The 18,959-nt window shown below is 49.7% G+C and overlaps 1 protein-coding gene across 1 annotated transcript, besides 1 other annotated feature; it reads left to right on the top strand.

Annotated features, from left to right (window-relative positions):
* Positions 2,607–18,936, top strand: TRIM63 (tripartite motif containing 63). The gene is made up of 9 exons (NM_032588.4): positions 2,607–2,901; positions 3,797–3,969; positions 8,903–9,071; positions 9,876–9,971; positions 11,614–11,847; positions 12,587–12,609; positions 12,910–13,034; positions 16,273–16,344; positions 18,354–18,936. The coding sequence occupies exons 1-9, from the start codon at positions 2,743–2,745 to the stop codon at positions 18,362–18,364; spliced, it is 1,062 nt and encodes a 353-aa protein (NP_115977.2). The 5' UTR covers positions 2,607–2,742; the 3' UTR covers positions 18,365–18,936.
* Positions 15,985–16,279: a silencer, noted in NCBI's record as "tiled region #4919; K562 Repressive DNase matched - State 8:EnhW". NCBI's record gives its function as "represses a minimal TATA promoter and a strong SV40 promoter by Sharpr-MPRA in K562 cells {active_cell/tissue: K562}" and the evidence as "EXISTENCE:reporter gene assay evidence [ECO:0000049][PMID:27701403]".

Here is an 18,959-nt window from a genome sequence, read left to right as displayed (position 1 = left end):
ATATTATGGGTCTTTTGTTATTGGCTATTGAGATGGTAAAATGAAATAATGCATACAAAGCATTTAGCACAATGCATAGCACATAGTAAGTGCTCAGCAAAACCTAAGTGCTCAGCAAAATTTTGGGGGGACAACTCTCTCCTCGAAATCCTCCAGCCCTTTGTTTTTAAGGCCTCTTCTTTTTTCTGTAACTTGTCCCTCTTCTTCTCCCATTTCCTCTCTTCCAAGGTTTGCTTCTCTGCTCTATGTCTTGTCTCATTGCTCCCATCATTCCTCTTTCCTGAAATCCTTCATACTCCTCCTGAGTATTCCACAGCCTCTTAGGCTCATCTTGGGCCCTGATACCACTGCTCCATATCTCTGCCCCATCGCCTTGGACCAGATGACCCCACAGTCCTTTCATTAGATGCTACCTTAAAAACAGCTACTGGAGGCCAGGTACAGTGGCTCACGCCTGTAATCCCAGCACTTTGGGAGGTCGAGGCAGGTGGATTGCCTGAGGTCAGGAGTTCGAGACCAGCCTGGCTAACATGGTGAAAACCTGTCTCTATTAAAAATACAAAAATTAGTCGGGTGTCATGACACATGCCTGTAGTCCCAGCTACTCAGGAGGCTGAGGCAGGAGATTCACTTCAACCTGGGAGGCGGAGGTTGCAGTGAGCTGAGATGGCGCCACTGCACTCCAGCCTCTGGGCAACACAGTGAAACTACATCTCGGGAAAAAAAAAAAAAAAAACCAGCCACTGGAACTGCTCTAATGACTTCTACTTGCCAACGTGGAAGATGTCCTAAAATACATGGAGAAAAGTTAAAATGTGTGCAGCGAGCTGAGGGACGCCTTCTAAGTGTCCAGGCAGGGCTTTGTGGCACCGCATGAGGGGTTTCCCTTTCTTTCTTTCTTTTTTCTTTTTCTTTTTTTTTTTTTTTTGGAGACAGAGTCTCACTCTATCACCGGGCTGGAGTGCGGTGGTGCAATCTCGACTCACCGCAACCTCCTCTTCCTGGGTTCAAACGATTCTCCTGCCTCAGCCTACTGAGTAGCTGGGATTATAGGCACCTGCCATCATACCCAGCTAATTTTTGTATTTTTAGTAGAGACAGGGTTTCACCATGTTGGCCAGGATGGTCTCCATCTCCTGACCTCGTGGTCTGCCCACCTCGACCTCCTAAAGTGCTGGGTTTACAGGCGTGAGTCACTGTGCCCTCTGGGTTTTTCCTTTCTATCTCCCTTCCTGGGCTGTGAGTTTCTTGGGGCAGGGAAACAGATCACTCATCCATCTGTCACGTTGTGATGTATACTAGTTACCTGATGTATACTAGTACTCAGAAAAATGTCTGATGAATGAATAAAATTTCTGTCTTTGCCACTTATTTTCTTTCTTTTTTGTTTTGTTTTGTTTTGTTTGGAGATGGCGTTTCACTCTTGTCACCCAGGCTGGAGTGCAGTGGCGCGATCTCAGCTCACTGCAACCTCCACCTCCTGGGTTCAAGTGATTCTCCTGCTTCAGCCTCCTGAGTAGCTGGGATTACAGGCGCGTACCACCACACCCAGCTAAGTTTTGTGTTTTTAGTAGAGACAGGGTTTTACCATGTTGGCCAGGCTAGTCTCGAACTCCTGACCTCAAGTGATCCACCTGCCTCAGCCTTCCAAAGTGCTGGGATTACAGGTGTGAGACACCACGCCCGGCTGCCACTTACTTTCCAACTGACTTTGAATATAATCCTTTTCTTCTCTAGTCCCATTTCAAAATCTGTAAGATGAGGGGACTGGACTGTGTTTCAAAGGAGGCTTTTCAGCACTAAGTGAAATAAGTGGCCGAGGGATGGAGGATGGGCTGGTTGGAGTGGGGGTCTCCATCATCTCCAGCAAAATGCTGTGCTGAAGTCTGAGGCAGAGGGATGGGCTCAGAGAGAGGGGCTGCCCGACCCTTCCATCTAGGAGCTGCCCAGGACTCCAGAGGAGGGGATGGAATTGATTTAGGTCAGTGAGGGGTTGCGTGGGGCTGGGAGGGGGTTGAGGTTGGGAGGCTGAAGGAGGAGACTCCCTTCAACCTGGGAGGTGGAGGTTGCAGTGAGCAGAGATCGTGCCACTGCACAATCCTTTCTATCTCCCTTCCTGGGCTGTGAGTTTCTCGGGGCAGGGAAACAGATCACTCATCCATCTGTCACGTTGTGATGTATACTAGTTGCCTGATGTATATACTAGTACTCAGAAAAATGTCTGATGAATGAATAAAATTCATTCATCGAACATTTTCATCATAGCATTGGCTATTAACCCCTTGAATCCCCGTGGCTCACTTGCTGGGTCCCATCCCTGACCCACTAGCCTGGTGCCGGGGGGAGACCAATTTCTGGAGGAAGCTCTGGGTACCCAGTCTTGCCCTAAGCCTGCCTCTGAACAGGCTGTTCTTGTTTATGACCCCCGTCCCAGCAGAATAGTGATTGCTCATCCCTGCATGTGATTTGAGAGGGCCAGTCTTTCAGGCCTGGAGGAAACTCAAGCCCCACCAGCCGCTTGGCATCGGAATGCTCAGCTGGTCCCCTCCTGGGGCTCATGTGACCAAGATCTAGCTATAAATATCAGAGGGGCCTCAGACCAAGACAGAATTCGGGCACCAGGAGAAGGAAGCCAACAGGATCCGACCCGGTGTTTTGTGACAAAGGCAAGACCCCCAGGTCTACTTAGAGCAAAGTTAGTAGAGGAGGCAGCTAGGCGTGGCTCTCATTCCTTCCCACAGAATGGATTATAAGTCGAGCCTGATCCAGGATGGGAATCCCATGGAGAACTTGGAGAAGCAGCTGATCTGCCCTATCTGCCTGGAGATGTTTACCAAGCCAGTGGTCATCTTGCCGTGCCAGCACAACCTGTGCCGGAAGTGTGCCAATGACATCTTCCAGGTAAGTGCCGGGTGCAGCTTCATTTGGGGTCCCCAGGTGGCTACTTGGCTTCCCTGTGATGAAACCCTTCTCCCTTAGACTTCCAACCTGGACAGCCTCTTTCCCCTTGGAAGTGAACCCCTGCAGAGGCCTCTGGACAGGGCTGAGAGGGGGCTGGGAGGCGGCTCTGGCTGCTGCGGTTCTTCTCCATAACACAAGTTTCCCCTCCCTGCCCTGCCCACAGCTCCCCCACCCCTGCCCTGAGCACTGCTGTTGACTCTCCAATCAAGAGTCAAATGCCTCAAGTGATAAGCGGGGTAGGCAGGGACAGGAGAGAGAAACCAGACCCCTGGGGCTGGAGCCAGGTCCTGGTGGCAAGAGGCCCAGAGCTTTGGGAGGAGGGTGTCAGGGAGGCAGTGGGCAGTAGAGGCATCTTCCCTTTTGAGGCTGTTCCCTATGATATGGGGGCAGAAGGGGCTCCAACTCCCCGAGAAAGGAAGGGGGTAGATGTCCTGGCTGGGAGGCAGGATGCGAGGTTCCCCATGGACACTTTACAAAATGTTCTTTCACGATATTATCTTTAAAGTAGCAGCCTTAGGAGCTTGCTCTCATTGTAATACCTATTTCATAAGTGGGCAAACTGAGGCCTACACAGATAAGGTTGCTTGCCCAAAATCACTCAGAGAATAAACATGACTTGAACCCAGGTCTCCTGCCTCCCCATCCTGACGATTGCTTAGCTGCTTCTCAGGTGCTCTGTGTGTGAGGACTGGTTCTCATCACAGTCTGCAGAGCTCCAGGTTGTTAGGTTTGACGGGGGTGGTTCGGATAGGCAGAGGAAAGGATAAGAGGAGATTAGAAAAGAGAAGGGCTAAGTAGGGAGCCCAGGCCTCACCTTGACCTTTGCCACCTGCAGGCTGCAAATCCCTACTGGACCAGCCGGGGCAGCTCAGTGTCCATGTCTGGAGGCCGTTTCCGCTGCCCCACCTGCCGCCACGAGGTGATCATGGATCGTCACGGAGTGTACGGCCTGCAGAGGAACCTGCTGGTGGAGAACATCATCGACATCTACAAACAGGAGTGCTCCAGGTCGGTTCTCGTGCCTGCTGGGGGCCCGCCCTCCTTCCCAGCCATGCTGTGCCTAGATCCCCCACGCTCCTTCCCCCTCCTTCATCTGCTCAGGATCCAGGCCTCTAGCTGGACTAGCTACACAAGCCATTCAGAGACAGGACTGGAGACCCATACACCCCAACCCAGCTCTCAGGATTGCTCAGCGGATGGGAAGGGGCCCAGACATTAGGCTGCCCTTCCAGGCAATACCAAGACAGAGACTGGGGGAAAGATGAGATGTGAGAGGGAGAGAAAGGCCCTGGGGCCAGCTAAGTGGCTCTGGTCAGCAGAGAAAATGCCCGGTGAGAAACAGCCAGGTTGTCTATAAGGATAGCAACAGCTACTCTCCCGTGTGCCATGAGGAACAGCGTCAGGCACTGGGAATGCTTCATCTAAGTACCTCCCAATAACTCTGTGAATCAGGCATGACTTTATTATCCTCATTTCACAGATGAGGAAACTGAGGCTCAAGAAGTGAAATCAATTAGCTAAGGTTTCCCAGCTGGGAAGTGAAAGAGCTGGGAGTTGACCCAGTCAATCTAGCTCTGAGTCTTCCTGCTAATAAAATAGCAGCTCATTCATAGGCAGAATGTGTGAGTGGTGGAGGTTGTGAAGGGTTGGCCTCAAACTGGGGAGAGAGGGCCAGGCATGGTGGCTCATGCCCATAATCCCAACACTCTGGGAGGCCAAGGTGGGATGATTGTTTGAGGCCAGGAGTTCAAGACAAGTCAGGGCAACATAGTGAGACCCTGTTTCTACAAAGTTTAAAAACTAGCTGGGCGTGGTGGGGCATGCCTGTAGTCCCAGCTCTTCAGGAGAATTGTTGAGCCAGGGAGGTCAAGGCTGCAGAGCCATGATTGTGCTACTGCACTCCAGCCTGGGTGACAGTGAGACCATGCCTCAAACAGACAAAAACACTGAGAGGCCGGGTGCGGTGGCCCACACCTGTAATCCCAGCACTTTGGGAGGCCAAGGTGTGTGGATCATTCGAGGTCAGGAGTTGGAGACCAGACTGGCCAACATGGTGAAACCCCGTCTCTACTAAAAATACAAAAATTAGCCAGGCGTGGTGGCGCGTGCCTGTCATCCCAGCTACTTAGGAGGCTGAGGCAGGAGAATTGCTTGAACAAGGGAGGCGGAGGTTGTAGTGAGCAGAGATCGTGCCACTGCACTCCAGCCTGGGTGACAGAGTGAGACTCCATCTAAACACACACACACACACACACACAACACAACACAACACAAAAATTTGGGAGAGACACAGCTCCAGGAAAGATCTTTACAAATCAGGACATCCTGGTAAGACTCCAGGAGTGCTGACCTCACAGCCTTTAAGGTCCAAAGCCTTCACCAAGGCATCTGCCTGCAGGCAGTGCCCAGCCCAGGGGAAGGTGACAGACCAGATCTCAGGTGAAAAAACCCTGACCCGGGGAACTGTGCTTGCTAGTCAGCCTCTGTGACTAATGTACTGTACCATGCTGGGTAAGCCTTTAGAGCTTCATTTCCTCTGTCTGCAAACAGAAACAGTAAGATCTGTTATTGTGGCTGTCAAATAAGATATTAATGGAAAATGGTTAATGTATCAACCATTTATTGGGTACCTATTGTGTGCAGGCGCTGTTCTAAGTACTTTCAGGCATTTTTCCTATCTGCTTCTCATAGTAACCCGGGAAGGCATTCCTGTCTCCATTTTACCATGAGGAAATGGAAGCTCAGAGAGGATCAGAGATTTGTCCAAGCCCACACAGCTAGCAAGTGGTAGAGCTAAGAGAGAGAGGGTGTGAGAATATTTTTTATTTTTTTAATTTTTTTTTTTGAGGCAGAGTCTTGGTCTGTTGCCCAGGCTAGAGGGCAGTGGTACGATCTTGGCTCACTGCAACCTCCACCTCCTCGGTTCAAGTGATTCCCCAGCCTCAGCTTCCCGAGTAGCAGGGACTACAGATGCGTGCCAACGTGCCCAGCTAATTATTATATTTTTAGTAGAGACAGGGTTTCACCATGTTGGCCAGGCTGGTCTCAAACTCCTGACCTCAGGTGATCTGCCCGCCTCAGCCTCCCAAAGTGCTGGGATTACAGACGTGCACCACCACACCCAGCTAATTTTTGTATTTTTTGTAGAGACAGGGTTTCACCACGTTGGCCGGGCTGGTCTTGAACTTCTGACCTCAGGTAATGCGCCCGCCTTGGCCTCCCAAAGTTCTGGCATTACAGGCGTGGGCCACCGCGCCTGGCCGGCCGGTGAATATTCTTAATTGCTGAGCTAGATTGCCTCTCATGTTGCTAGAGCACAACACTACAAAATGCAAACATATTGTTGATCATAAGGAATAATAAAATCAATTCCACACCAATGTTAGCCTACCCAGTGCCGACCTATGAAGAGCATGTTATATGTGAACCTTTGAGGCCTTTCCGCATAGTTGAATGACAATGACAGCTGCCCTCTATTGAGGGTCTGCTCTGTGCCGGGCACTCTACATTCATTATAGACAATTTCTACAGACAGATTGCAGTAGTTCTGGGAGGAATCCCACAGGCAAGAGAGGTGAAATCACTAGTCCAAAATCACAAAAATGAATGTAAGAGAACAATCTGGATATGAACCCCGATGCCAAAGTCTGAGCTTGGGAGGGTGGGCATCTGGGAGGGCTGCGGGCGCATGAACCAGACCCTCAGGCTCTTGCCTCACCTCTGCACTCCCTGCCATCCCTTTATCAGGGGATGGAGGCAGGTGGCAATGGCAGACCCCTGCCAGCATAGGGACCCTGGGGTAAACTATGCAAAAAGACAAGCCTGGAAAGGGGCATATTTAAGAACTTCAGAGGACAATAGAGCCCAGGGTGTGATCAGTCATGTAAGGCTGTTTGGAGGTGAGGCATTGACACTGATGGGAACAGTCACCATTTGACATTTGCAAGATGCCTGTTCTGTTTGGGGCTGGGAATCGAAGGTAGTGTTGGCTTTCAATGAGTGTATAGTCTAGCCGGAGACAGAAGACTCAAAAAATCGAATCTACACCAGGCATGGTGGTATGCACCAGTTGCAGCTACTGGGGAGACTGAGGTAGGAGGATTGCTCAGCCCAGGAGTTCGAGGCTGCAGTGTATCTGTGAATCGCTGCTGCACTCCAGCCTGGACAATATGGTGAGACCCTGTCTCAAAACAAACAAACAAACAAACAAACAAACAAAGGCTGGGTGCTGTGGATCACGCCTGTAATCCCAGCACTTTGGGAGGCTGAGGTGGGTGGATCACATGAGGCCAGGAGTTTGAGACCAGCCTGCCCAACATGGTGAAACCCCATCTCTACTAAAAAATACAAAAATTAGCTGGGCATGGTGGTGCACGTCTGTAATCTCAGCTACTCAGGAGGCTGAGGCATCAGAAACTCAGGAGGTGGAGTTTGCAGTGAGCTAAGATCACACCACTGCACTCCAGCCTGGGCAAAAAATCAAAACAGAACAACACAACAACAAAAAAATCCCCCCCAGGCCCCAATGAATCTAGGTTAGGAAATGACTGATGTCCCAAGAGAAGCACAAATAACAGGTTGGAGGTCTCAAGGAAGAAAGGTAGTTCTAAGCATATGTGTTAGGGGAGAAAGTAGAGGAAGAGACTTGGGCCTTTGAAAGAATCTCTGGACTAGAAGTCAGGCTTGTGCTGGGCTGTTGGACAGCCCTGGGCTACCCACTCACCAGTCACCATGACATGGGGCATACACACTGCTCCTTCTCTGAGCCTCAGGGGCAACCTCATGGCTCAGAGAGGGTCAGAGGTTTATCCAAGGCCATACAGCTAGAAAGTGGTGAAGCTAAGAGAAAGAGAGAGGGTATGACTGACTCTGTGGTGAATATTCTTTTTTAAAAAAATTGTTTTCTTATGGAGAATGTTAATAAATTCAAGATGGTGAATATTATTGATTCCTATGCTAGTTATTAATTTATTCTTTCTTTCTTTCTTTCTTTTTTTTTTTTTTTGAGACGGAGTTTTGCTCTTGTTGCCCAGGCTGGAGTGCAATGGTGCGATCTCGGCTCACCGCAACCTCTGCCTCCTGGTTTCAAGTGATTCTCCTGCCTCAGCCTCCCGAGTAGCTGGGATTACAGGTGCATGCCACCATGCCTGGTTAATTTTTTTGAGTTTTTAGTAGAGACGGGGTTTCATCATATTGGTCAAGCTGGTCTTGAACTCCTGACCTCAGGTGACTCTCCCACCTCGGCCTCCCAAAGTGCTGGGATTACAGGCGTGAGCCACTGCGCCCAGCCTTATTGATTTATTCTTTCTACCTTTGTTTAATTACCACCTCCTCTATGCCAGGCACTGTACAGTGTAGGCACAGGGGTGAAGAAAACAGGCAAGTTTCCCTACCTTGATGGAGGTTACAGTCTGGTAGATTAAATATAGAATTAAATGAGGCCATCAGTATAAATTTCTCAGCTCAGAGCCCAGCCTGCAGTAACCAAAGCTAAGGTGACTATAATTAGAGCAACTGAACTCTAGGCTCCTCTGCCCTTACTTGCTGTATGACCTTGGACGAGTCAATTCACTTTTCTGGAGCCCAGTTTCCTCTTCTCTAAAACATCTCCAGGTCTGACTCTGGAATTCTATGGCCCTTTCTGTGTCCTTGGCACTGGCAGAGCCTCAGGCTAACTCCCTCTTAGGATGTGGGGACAGATTTGGTGTCATTGGCTTCCCAAGTCCTTGGTCCCCAGAAGATGAAAGATTTTAGGGCAGCCAAACACTGAGGGCCCAGGGCATAAATCTGGAGATTCACAGACACACTGCAGCCTCGAATTCCTGGGCTGAGCAATCCTCCTGCCTCAGCCTCCCCAGTAGCTGCGACTGGTGCATTGGAGCTGGGGAGGGGGATGCAGGGACACAGGACCCCCATGACTTGTGACTGTTCTCCACTGCAGTCGGCCGCTGCAGAAGGGCAGTCACCCCATGTGCAAGGAGCACGAAGATGAGAAAATCAACATCTACTGTCTCACGTGTGAGGTGCCCACCTGCTCCATGTGCAAGGTGTTTGGGATCCACAAGGCCTGCGAGGTGGCCCCATTGCAGAGTGTCTTCCAGGGACAAAAGGTACTGTCTCCAGCCACTTTTACCCCCAGCCTGGGCCTGCTGGGCACGGCCTGATGATTCAGGAGGCAGATTTGATCCCTGTAGATCTGCTGATCTGGCCTTTCAGGAATAGTCTCTCTGGAGGGACTTCCCAGGCCACAGGGACAGCAGCCCTGGCCTTCCTAGGGGAGGCAGCTGAGCTCATGGTTATACTTAGAGCCACTCGAGAGCACCTGGGTGTGGCCACAGGGGAGCGGTCAGACGCCCCAGCCAGGCCACTGGGGTCCTCTCAGGCCACGGCTTCTCCATCCCCCAGACACCTCTTCCTGTGCCTCTCACCTCTTCTCCAAGACTTCACATTCCCCCACAGCAGGAGGCAGCTTAGAGCCTTCTCCCTGGGTCCCTGGGCCTGTGAGGGCCCACCACCCTGTCCGTGCAGTAAGCCGTAGCCACCCCCTTTCCATACTCTCTCTTCCCTACTCCCCACTCTTCTCTAGGTCTCTCTCTTCTAGACGTCTCCAACTCTATTTCTTTTTTTGTCCCTTCTTTCTTAGAAACAAGCCCCTCCTCTGTCAGTTCCTTGCTGTGTGTTTTGGGCAGCTCACTTGCCTGCTGTTGGCCTCACCTGTAAAATAAGGGATGCAGTATCTTTCTAATATCCTCTACTCTGGAGCTGAGCTATACCCGAAAGAGGGGCCAGATCCCTACTGGAGGCTCTTTCTAGCAGAGAGGGGAGGGAGGAAGCCATGTTGCTGCCATGCCCCAGTGGGTAGGCCCTGAGGCTATTTGTGTCTCTCCTCTCCTGACCCCCACACCCCCATCTAGACTGAACTGAATAACTGTATCTCCATGCTGGTGGCGGGGAATGACCGTGTGCAGACCATCATCACTCAGCTGGAGGATTCCCGTCGAGTGACCAAGGTGAGCGGACAGAATAGTCCTGCCTGGGGATTTGGAGCTTTCCAGGGCAGCCTGGTCTCTGGGGAAGGCTCACCCATAGGTTGTGGCTAAAGGTTGGGGCCCGGAGCCTGGGGCGGTCAAGCAGGGATGGCAGGGGAGGGACTAATCCATTCATCCAGTCTCTCAACAAATGCTTCTTAAGCACAGCTGTGTGTCCGGCCCCACCCAAGATGTGGGGGATGGAGGAGTGAACCAGACAGACGTGGTCCCTGAGCTCAGGGAGTGTCCCATCAATAATTCTCAGTATTTATTCAGCACAAATTGTTTTCAGAGCACAGTTCTTCAGTGTGCTGTAGACCAACACTTCCCAAACTTTGAAGTGCGTGAAAATTACGCTGGGATCATGTTGAAATTCAGGTTTTGATTCAGTTGGTTTGGAATGAGGCATAAGAGCTGCATTTCTAGCCAGTTCCCAGGATTTGCCCAAGCTGCTGGGTCCACAGACCACATGTTGAGTAGTGAGACTGTTGAGGGCAGAAGGGAACTTTTCTATCCCTGAAAAAAGCTTCCACGATTTTCCATGTTCACTTGGGGTAGGGATCTGGAGATGAGATGAGGGGAAGGGGTCATCATAATTGCTAGTGGATGAAGAGTTGGGCGAAGGGTAGGAAGGAGGGGAACATTGTGATCACCCACGAGAGGCTCCCGGTCTGATGAGATGCTATTGTCACACCCATTTTATAGAAAAGAACATAGAGAGAAGGGAGCTTCGGTTGAGGAGGGTGCTAGGAAAGGAGCTGTTTTTCCACCTCTCCTAGGACCAAATGATGCAGAGCTTCCCGAATCCAGTCTTGGTCCTGAAAGGGAGGGAAGAGTGTGAACTGGGACATATGGGAGGCCCAGGAAACGTTAATTTGTTGAAGGTCACACAGCTAAAAGGGAAACACAGCTAAAAGGCAACAGAGAGCTGGGCACAGTGGCTCATGCCTATAATCCCAGCACTTTGGGAGGTCAAGCTGGGTGGATCATGAGGTCAGGAGATCGAGACCATCCTGGCCAACATGGTGAAACCCCATCTCTACTAAAAATACAAAAAAATAGCCAGGCGTGGTAGCGTATCTATAATCCCAGCTACTCGGGAGGCTGAGGCAGGAGAATCGCTTGAACCTGGGAGGTGGAGGTTGCAGTGAGCCAAGATCGCACCACTGCACTCCAGCGGGGGCAACAGAGCGAGACTCCATCTCAAAAAAAAAAAAAAAAAAAGGGCAACAGAGAAAGACAGGGCAGATCCCACATTGGGTGACTGTTGCATTGGTCTAAGAGGTGATGCTCCAATGACCAGCTGAGGTTGGGGGACAGGGGGAGGGTGCAGGAACAAGGAAGAACATGTTGTGTCATGTGACCCTAGAGCCTCTATTTTGGAAGAAGGGGCTAGCTGTTTTTCAAGGCATCATCCTCCAAATATCACTGGCGTACTAAATAGCTGTGAGGCCAGATGAGTGTTTTCTTCTTGTTAAGTCTTTGTTTCTTCTTCTGTAGTGTGGGGATGTATGTAGTGAGATCTCTTCTAGCTTTAGATTCCTTGCTACTGTCCTAGGAAGGCAGTGTAGTGGGCAGGGAATAAAGACCCTACAGAACGTGACCACAAGACTTCCGTCCTCAGGAGAACAGTCACCAGGTAAAGGAAGAGCTGAGCCAGAAGTTTGACACGTTGTATGCCATCCTGGATGAGAAGAAAAGTGAGTTGCTGCAGCGGATCACGCAGGAGCAGGAGAAAAAGCTTAGCTTCATCGAGGCCCTCATCCAGCAGTACCAGGAGCAGCTGGACAAGTCCACAAAGCTGGTGGAAACTGCCATCCAGTCCCTGGACGAGCCTGGGGGAGCCACCTTCCTCTTGGTGAGCAGGACTAGAAGGGTCTGGGTGGGGTCAGTTCAACTCTACAGCTCTAAGGTTCAAGTTATGCTTCCCCACTGACCACCCATGGGCCCTTGGAAAAGCCATTTAAACCTCTGTGAGCCTCAGTTTCCTCATCTGTCAAATGGGCATGTAACACCCCCCACCTTCCTCTTACTGATTTTATGATGATAAGATAAGAGGATGTTTATGAAATGACTTTGTAAGCTGCAAAATACAGTGTCCCATCTACAGACTATTAATTGAGCCCCTACTGTAGGCCAGGCACTGAGGTGGAAGACAAGGAGATAAACCAGACACAGCCCTGCCCTCAAAGAGCTTGTTGGGGAGGACAGAAAAGGCTCAGTTATAAGACTTCATAGTTCAGTTCAATAAAAATGTTCTAGGCTTCTACTGTGGGCCAGGCTTTTTGCTAGACATTAGGTATGAAAAGGTGGTTAGGATTGGGGAGTTCAGGGTTTAGGAGTTTTGGGATTGATACCCCTAGAATCCAAGCTTCCTGTCAAGACAGTGGGTCCTAGGGTGATGACCAAGACCTGTACAGACCACAGACAGAGGGAAAAGTTCCAGATTCTGCTCAGTTTGGGGTGGGGAGCAGGTCACAACTGGGCTAGGGAATGGCACCAAATATCTACCTACAACACCTAGTTCACTAGTTTTGCTGATTTCCTGCGGTTACCTCTTCTGCGGTCCTAATCCTTTGTTCTCTCTCCCCCTGCAGACTGCCAAGCAACTCATCAAAAGGTCAGTGTCTTCCTAGAGGCTATGATCCAAGCACCTAGTTCCCACCAGGACCTCTGTCCAGGAAGCCTCATCCTGGGCATTAGGCCTGCTGGGAGGGTCTCACTCTAGGCTGGCTTCCCTGACCCTTTGCATCCCTGACTTTTTGGACCACTCCTTGTGCTTGAGGTTGGAGAGGAAATACTCCATCCCTCCAGGGGAGCCTCTGGGTAGAAGGCCTGGGCGTGGCAAAGCATGTGCCCTCTCTTCCCTGCACTGAGCCCCAGAGACCTCATCCTGCCTCTCTTTCTGTCTCCCCTGCAGCATTGTGGAAGCTTCCAAGGGCTGCCAGCTGGGGAAGACAGAGCAGGGCTTTGAGAACATGGACTTCTTTACTTTGGATTTAGAGCACATAGCAGACGCCCTGAGAGCCATTGACTTTGGGACAGGTAAAGGAGGTGGTGATGCCACTTGTCTATTTGCCTGCCTGACCCCTGGAAACCAGCATCCCTCCAACTGAGCCCGATGGGGAGGCAGATACACTAATAAAGATCCCCAAATATCAATCAAACTCATATAGCCAACTTCTGGCCGGCTGTGGTGGCTCATGCCTGTAATCCCAGCACTTTGGGAGGCCAAGGTGGGCGGATCACTTGAGGTCAGGAGTTTGAGACCAGCCTGACCAACGTGGTGAAACCTCATCTCTACTAAAAATACAAAAATTAGCCAGGCGTGATGGCATGTGCCTGTAATTCCAGCTACTTGGGAAGCTGAGGCAGGAGAATCACTTGAATCCAGGAGGTAGAGGTTGCAGTGAGCCGAGATTGTGCCACTGCACTCCAGCCTGGGCAAAAGAGCCAGCCAAACTCCATCTCAAAAAAAAAAAAAAAAAAATTCATATAGTCGATTTCTAGATGAGCCCAGAGCCTAGCACAGTGCCTGGTGCAGAATTCCTGCTTCATAAATTACATATGGATCCATGGCAGGGAGGCCTCTTGGGGCAGTAGAAATAATATGCCCTCTGGAATCAGACAGTCCTGAGTTTAAATCCTGGTTCTGTCATTTGTTTATCTGTGTGACCTTTGGCAAGCCCCCTTCTGCCTGAGTTTTATTTTCTAATTTAAAAAGTCAGGTTAGAAGTGAGCCCTCTAATAATGACCAACTCATGGTGCTGTTGCAAAAAATCAGATATCAATGCAGAAAGGTCCTGTAGAGCCCTAAAGATGTACTAGTTATTGCCTAAAGGTAGTCTTAGCTTCAGTTTCTTAATGCTATCACCTATGATACCCAGGCACCTTAATTGATCAACATCATGTCCTCATTTCTGTTTATAATTACTCTTCCATAGAGTGCCTATAATAATTGTAACAATGCAACCGTAACAATAATAAGGGTGAAAATAACAAAGGAAATGAAGAAACTGAATGGAAGCAAATATGTTAATTTGCTAAAGGTCACACAGCTAAAAGGGAAACACAGCTAAAAGGCAACAGAGAAAGAGAGGGCAGATCCCACATTGCTGACTGTTGCGTTGGTCTGAGAGGTGGTGCTCCAATGACCAGCTGAGGTTGGGGGACAAGGGGATGATGAAGGAACAAGGAAGAACTGTAAATGGCTGGCGTGAGAAAGAGAAGAGCTTCTTGGCACCTCCTGTGTCGCTCTCCTACAAACCTTCAGTAGCTGGTGCTAAGTCTGTTTTCAGAGCCCCAGATATACCCCATTCATAGGTAAGGACAAAATACATCCCAAAGCAGAGACACCAATGGCCTTGGGGACATCCACTGCTGTAGTGAGCTGCTCCACTGTCAGCTTCCCTAAGCTAAGATATTCAAGAGTGGGTCAGCCAGGCACAGTGACTCACGTCTGTAATCTCAGCACTTTGGGGGTCCAAGGCAGGTGGATCACCTGAGGTCAGGAGTTCCAGACCAGCCTGACCAACACGGAGAAACCCCGTCTCTACTAAAAATACAAAATTAGCTGGGCATGGTGGTGCATGCCTGTAATCCCAGCTAACTCGGGAGGCTGAAGCAGCAGAATTGCTTGAATCCGGGAGGAGGAGGTTGCAGTGAGCTGTGATCACGCCATTGCACTCCAGCCTGGGCAACAGGAGTGAAACTCCATCTCAAAAAAAAAAAAAAAAGAAAGAAATAGATATTCAAGAGTGGGTCATACGGTGTGAACATAACATTGTGAAGTCCTGCACTGGCCTTCCTAATCTCCCTGAGCCTCAGTTTCTCCACAAGTAAAATGAGGAGAGTACCAACAGTCACCAGTTACTGAATATTCTGTATGTCCTAGGCGCTAAGCCCTTAACATAAGTTTTATCATTTAACACAACTTCATGGGATAGGTTCTGTTACCATCTCTATTTTGTAGTTGAGGGAACTTAAAGCTCAGAGAGGGTAAGCCACTTGTTCAAGGCCACACAGCTGGCAAGTAGCCTGTGCAGATTCTACTGAGGGCCATTTGGCTTGCAAAACTCTTGTGAGGATTTTATAAGACGATGCAGATTCAACACTGAGCACACTACTTGGCACATAGTAAGTACTCAGCAACTGCTATTAAATGTAGTCATTGTGACAATGATTAAACAACAGAACTCCCTGGGTTATACTCTGATATCAGTTACTTGGCTGGAATTTTGGTTGTCATTTTGGAGATACTATTTTTTTTTTTTTTTTTTGAGACGGAGTTTTGCTCTTGTCGCCCAGGTTGGAGTGCAATGGTGTGATCTCAGCTCACTGCAACGTTTGCCTCCTGGGTTCAAGAGATTCTCCTGCCTCAGCCTCCCAAGTAGCTGGGATTACAGGTGCATGCCACCACACCCAGCTAATTTTTTGTATTTTTAGTAGAGACAGGGTTTTACCATGTTGGCCAGGCAGGTCTTGAACTCCTGACCTCAGGTGATCTGACCGCCTCAGCCTCCCAAAGTGCTGGGATTACAGGTGTGAGCGACCAAGCCTGGCCTGAAGATACTCTTGACAAATGTTCTGATTCTGTGGTGACCCCTTCAGGGCCCCAAAAGGTTAAGGAGGTAGCTTGGGAGAGGAGCGGGGAAGGGAGATGTTCCCTGTTAAAGCTTGACGGTGACATCTCAGGATAAAAAAGTGGGGACATGAGTTGCAGCTCAGTCACTGTCCCTCTGGTGCTCAGCTTCAGGGAGCAGAGGTGGCTCCAGAAGTGCTTCCCCATCATGTCCACCCCTCCCCTCCACAGGCTAAGGAATGAGGAAAATGGGACAGTGGCTGCTGAACAAGCAGATCTCATAGGCTAAGTAGCTTCCTTCAAGACAAGGACTCTGATCCCTGAGGATCGAGGAGGTTTTTCCTCCTCAGGCAATGTTTATCTGCCTACCCGAGAGATGTGCAGAAGCACAGAGTGCGCTTCCTCAGAGTCCCCTCTCTGGTCACAGGCGAGCAGGTGATAGAAGCTGCTGTTGCTGGAGCAAGGAAGTGACTTGAGCCCAGCTCCCTGGGACGGAGTGCGGGGGATTGCAGGAGCAGGGCCTCTGTGCAGCGTGGGTCTGGCAAGCCCATCCCCTCCCAGACCACTGCCGCCGCTGTGTGGCCGTTTGACCCGACTGGGCACAGGAAGGGGTTTAGACCGTGCTCTCTCTTGCCTGGTTCCTCTTCAAGTAGCTCCTCAAGGAACCGGCCCCATCCTAACACAAATGTTTTTTTGTCACAGATGAGGAAGAGGAAGAATTCATTGAAGAAGAAGATCAGGAAGAGGAAGAGTCCACAGAAGGGAAGGAAGAAGGTAAGAAATTCATCTACCTCCATTCCTTCGTTCCTTCATTCATTCCACAACAATCTGAGGTGCCTACTGTATGTGAAGCACTGTGTTAGACATTGGCAATGACGCTCAGAACTGTCCCCAGCACGTGCTTTAACCCTACTGAGGGTAAAGTCCTGTTCTCTTTACCCTTAGAAAAGAAAAAAACCCCAAACTATTCATAATAAAATGCTCCCATTTCACATCTAAATGATCTTCTTAAATGGAAAGCAATATGGCACAGCAGAGGGAAAAGACAGGGGCTCATGAGCTAGGCTGGGCCCATTGAGGTGTTTTGTTTGGCCAGCACTGTGTTTAAATTAAAACAAACAAACAAACAAACAAAACTACTTGCTGGACAGGCACGGTGGCTCGAGCCTGTAATCCCAGCACTTGGGGAGGCCAAGGCCAGCCTGGCCAACATGGTGAAACCCTGTCTCTACTAAACATACAAAAAATTAGCTGAATTTGGTGGCAGGCGCCTGTAGTACCAGCTACTTAGGAGGCTGAGGCAGGAGAATCGCTTGAACCTGGGAGGTGGAGGTTGCAGTGAGCCGAGATCGTGCCACTGCACTCCAGCCTGGGTGACAAGAGTGAGACTCCATCTCAAAAAATAAATAAATAAATACTTGCTGGCTGGGTGTGGTGGTACGTGCCTATAATCCCAGCACTTTGGGAGGCTGAGGCGGGAGGATTGCTTGAGACCTGGAGTTTGGGACCAGCCTGGTCAACAGCAAGTCCTCGTCTTTACAAAAATAATTTAAAAATTAGCCAGGCATGGTGGTACATATCTGTAGTCCTAGCTACTCGGAAGGCTGAGGCTGGAGGATTGCTTGAGCCCAAGAGGTAGAGGCTGCAGTGAGCTATGATTGCGCCACTGCACTCTTGCCTTGGCAACAGAGGACACTACACTGTCTCTTAAAAGAAAAAATTAATTGCTAACATTTTTAAAATTAGGTTTTTTTTAAGGGTTAAGAAAAAGGAGATTTGAACTAAGAATCTGCATTTTCACCTTGTGAAAGTTTAGAAAAAGCAAACAATGCTGGACTTGAACTTCCTTGTAGTCCCAGAGTGCTGGCTCTGGGCAGTGGCTCTCCCCTTTAAAGGGGACACGCTGGCATGGTGGCTCACGCCTGTAATCCTAGCACTTTGGGAGGCCGAGGCAGGCGGATCACCTGAGGTCAGGAGTTTGACACCATCCTGGCCAACATGGTGAAACCCCGTCTCTACTAAAAATACAAAAATTAGCCAGGCGTGGTGACGGGCACCTGTAATCCCAGCTACTTGGGAGGCTGAGGCAGGAGAATCGCTAGAACCCCAGGGGGGCGGAGCTTGCAGTGAGCCGAGATCACGCCACTTCACTCCAGCCTGGGCAAAAGAGTGAAACTCCATCTCAAAAAAAAACAAAGAAAAGAAAAGAAAAATGGGACATGCCCTTGCCAGTTTGCCCAGCCCCACCACCACCAGTCCCGCTTGCTTCACTCATTCATGTTATCTGCTGGCTCCTTGTAGGCATCTGAGTTTGCCAGCCTGGCAGAGTTTGATTAGGAGCCTGGGTTCTGAATCACAGCAGCTCACAATTTCTCTGAGTCTTGGGCTACTCATCTGTGTATGGGGGTCTAACAGTACTGACGTCAAAAGGTTGTAGTGGGAAGTGAATAAGATAATCGTTTAGCACGGTGTCTGATGCATAGGAAGGACGTTTGCTAATTAGCACATGCTTGCAAATGTTATTTTTCAAACCACAGGTACTGAAACTAAATTCCAATCCAGTTGAAAACTATAGGTAGTCTTTTGGAGTTTTGTACTGATGTACAATCCATAATATTTGGGCAGCTAAATTCTATTTTGGTTTTAAAAGGAAGAGACCGGGAGGAATTGGAGTTTGATGTTTTATTCAAACTCCTGTTTGAATAAACAGTAGCTTGGTAAGCCTTGGATCCTCCTGAGTCCCTGTCTCACCCCTTGCCTCTGTATCTTTTTCTTCATTTCAGGACACCAGTAAGGAGCTGGATGAATGAGAGGCCCCCAGATGCAGAGAGACTGGAGAGGGTGGGGAGGGGCCCAGCGGCCTTGGTGACAGGCCCAGGGTGGGAGGGGTCGGGGCCCCTGGAGGGGCAATGGGGAGGTGATGTCTTCTCTCTGCTCAGAGAGCAGGGACTAGGGTAGGACCCTCACCGCTGCGTCCAGCAGACACTGAACCAGAATTGGAAACGTGCTTGAAACAATCACACAGGACACTTTTCTACATTGGTGCAAAATGGAATATTTTGTACATTTTTAAAATGTGATTTTTGTATATACTTGTATATGTATGCCAATTTGGTGCTTTTTGTAAAGGAACTTTTGTATAATAATGCCTGGTCGTTGGGTGACCTGCGATTGTCAGAAAGAGGGGAAGGAAGCCAGGTTGATACAGCTGCCCACTTCCTTTCCTGAGCAGGAGGATGGGGTAGCACTCACAGGGACGATGTGCTGTATTTCAGTGCCTATCCCAGACATACGGGGTGGTAACTGAGTTTGTGTTATATGTTGTTTTAATAAATGCACAATGCTCTCTTCCTGTTCTTCAAAGGAGCCGGGGTTTCATTCAGCCTTTT

Source organism: Homo sapiens, chromosome 1, assembly GCF_000001405.40.
Source record: "Homo sapiens chromosome 1, GRCh38.p14 Primary Assembly".
In the NCBI taxonomy this organism is placed as follows: Eukaryota; Metazoa; Chordata; class Mammalia; order Primates; family Hominidae; genus Homo; species Homo sapiens.
The sequence above is the reverse complement of the archived record's forward strand: the minus strand, read 5'-3'. Positions and strand labels throughout refer to the sequence as shown.

Excerpts from the sequence above, each read along its gene's own strand:
- TRIM63 (NM_032588.4), top strand. The coding sequence starts at position 2,743 with ATGGATTATAAGTCGAGCCTGATCCAGGATGGGAATCCCATGGAGAAC. Across the intron at positions 9,072-9,875 it reads GTGTCTTCCAGGGACAAAAG|ACTGAACTGAATAACTGTAT; the intron begins GTACTGTCTCCA and ends ACCCCCATCTAG. Across the intron at positions 12,610-12,909 it reads GCCAAGCAACTCATCAAAAG|CATTGTGGAAGCTTCCAAGG; the intron begins GTCAGTGTCTTC and ends TCTCCCCTGCAG.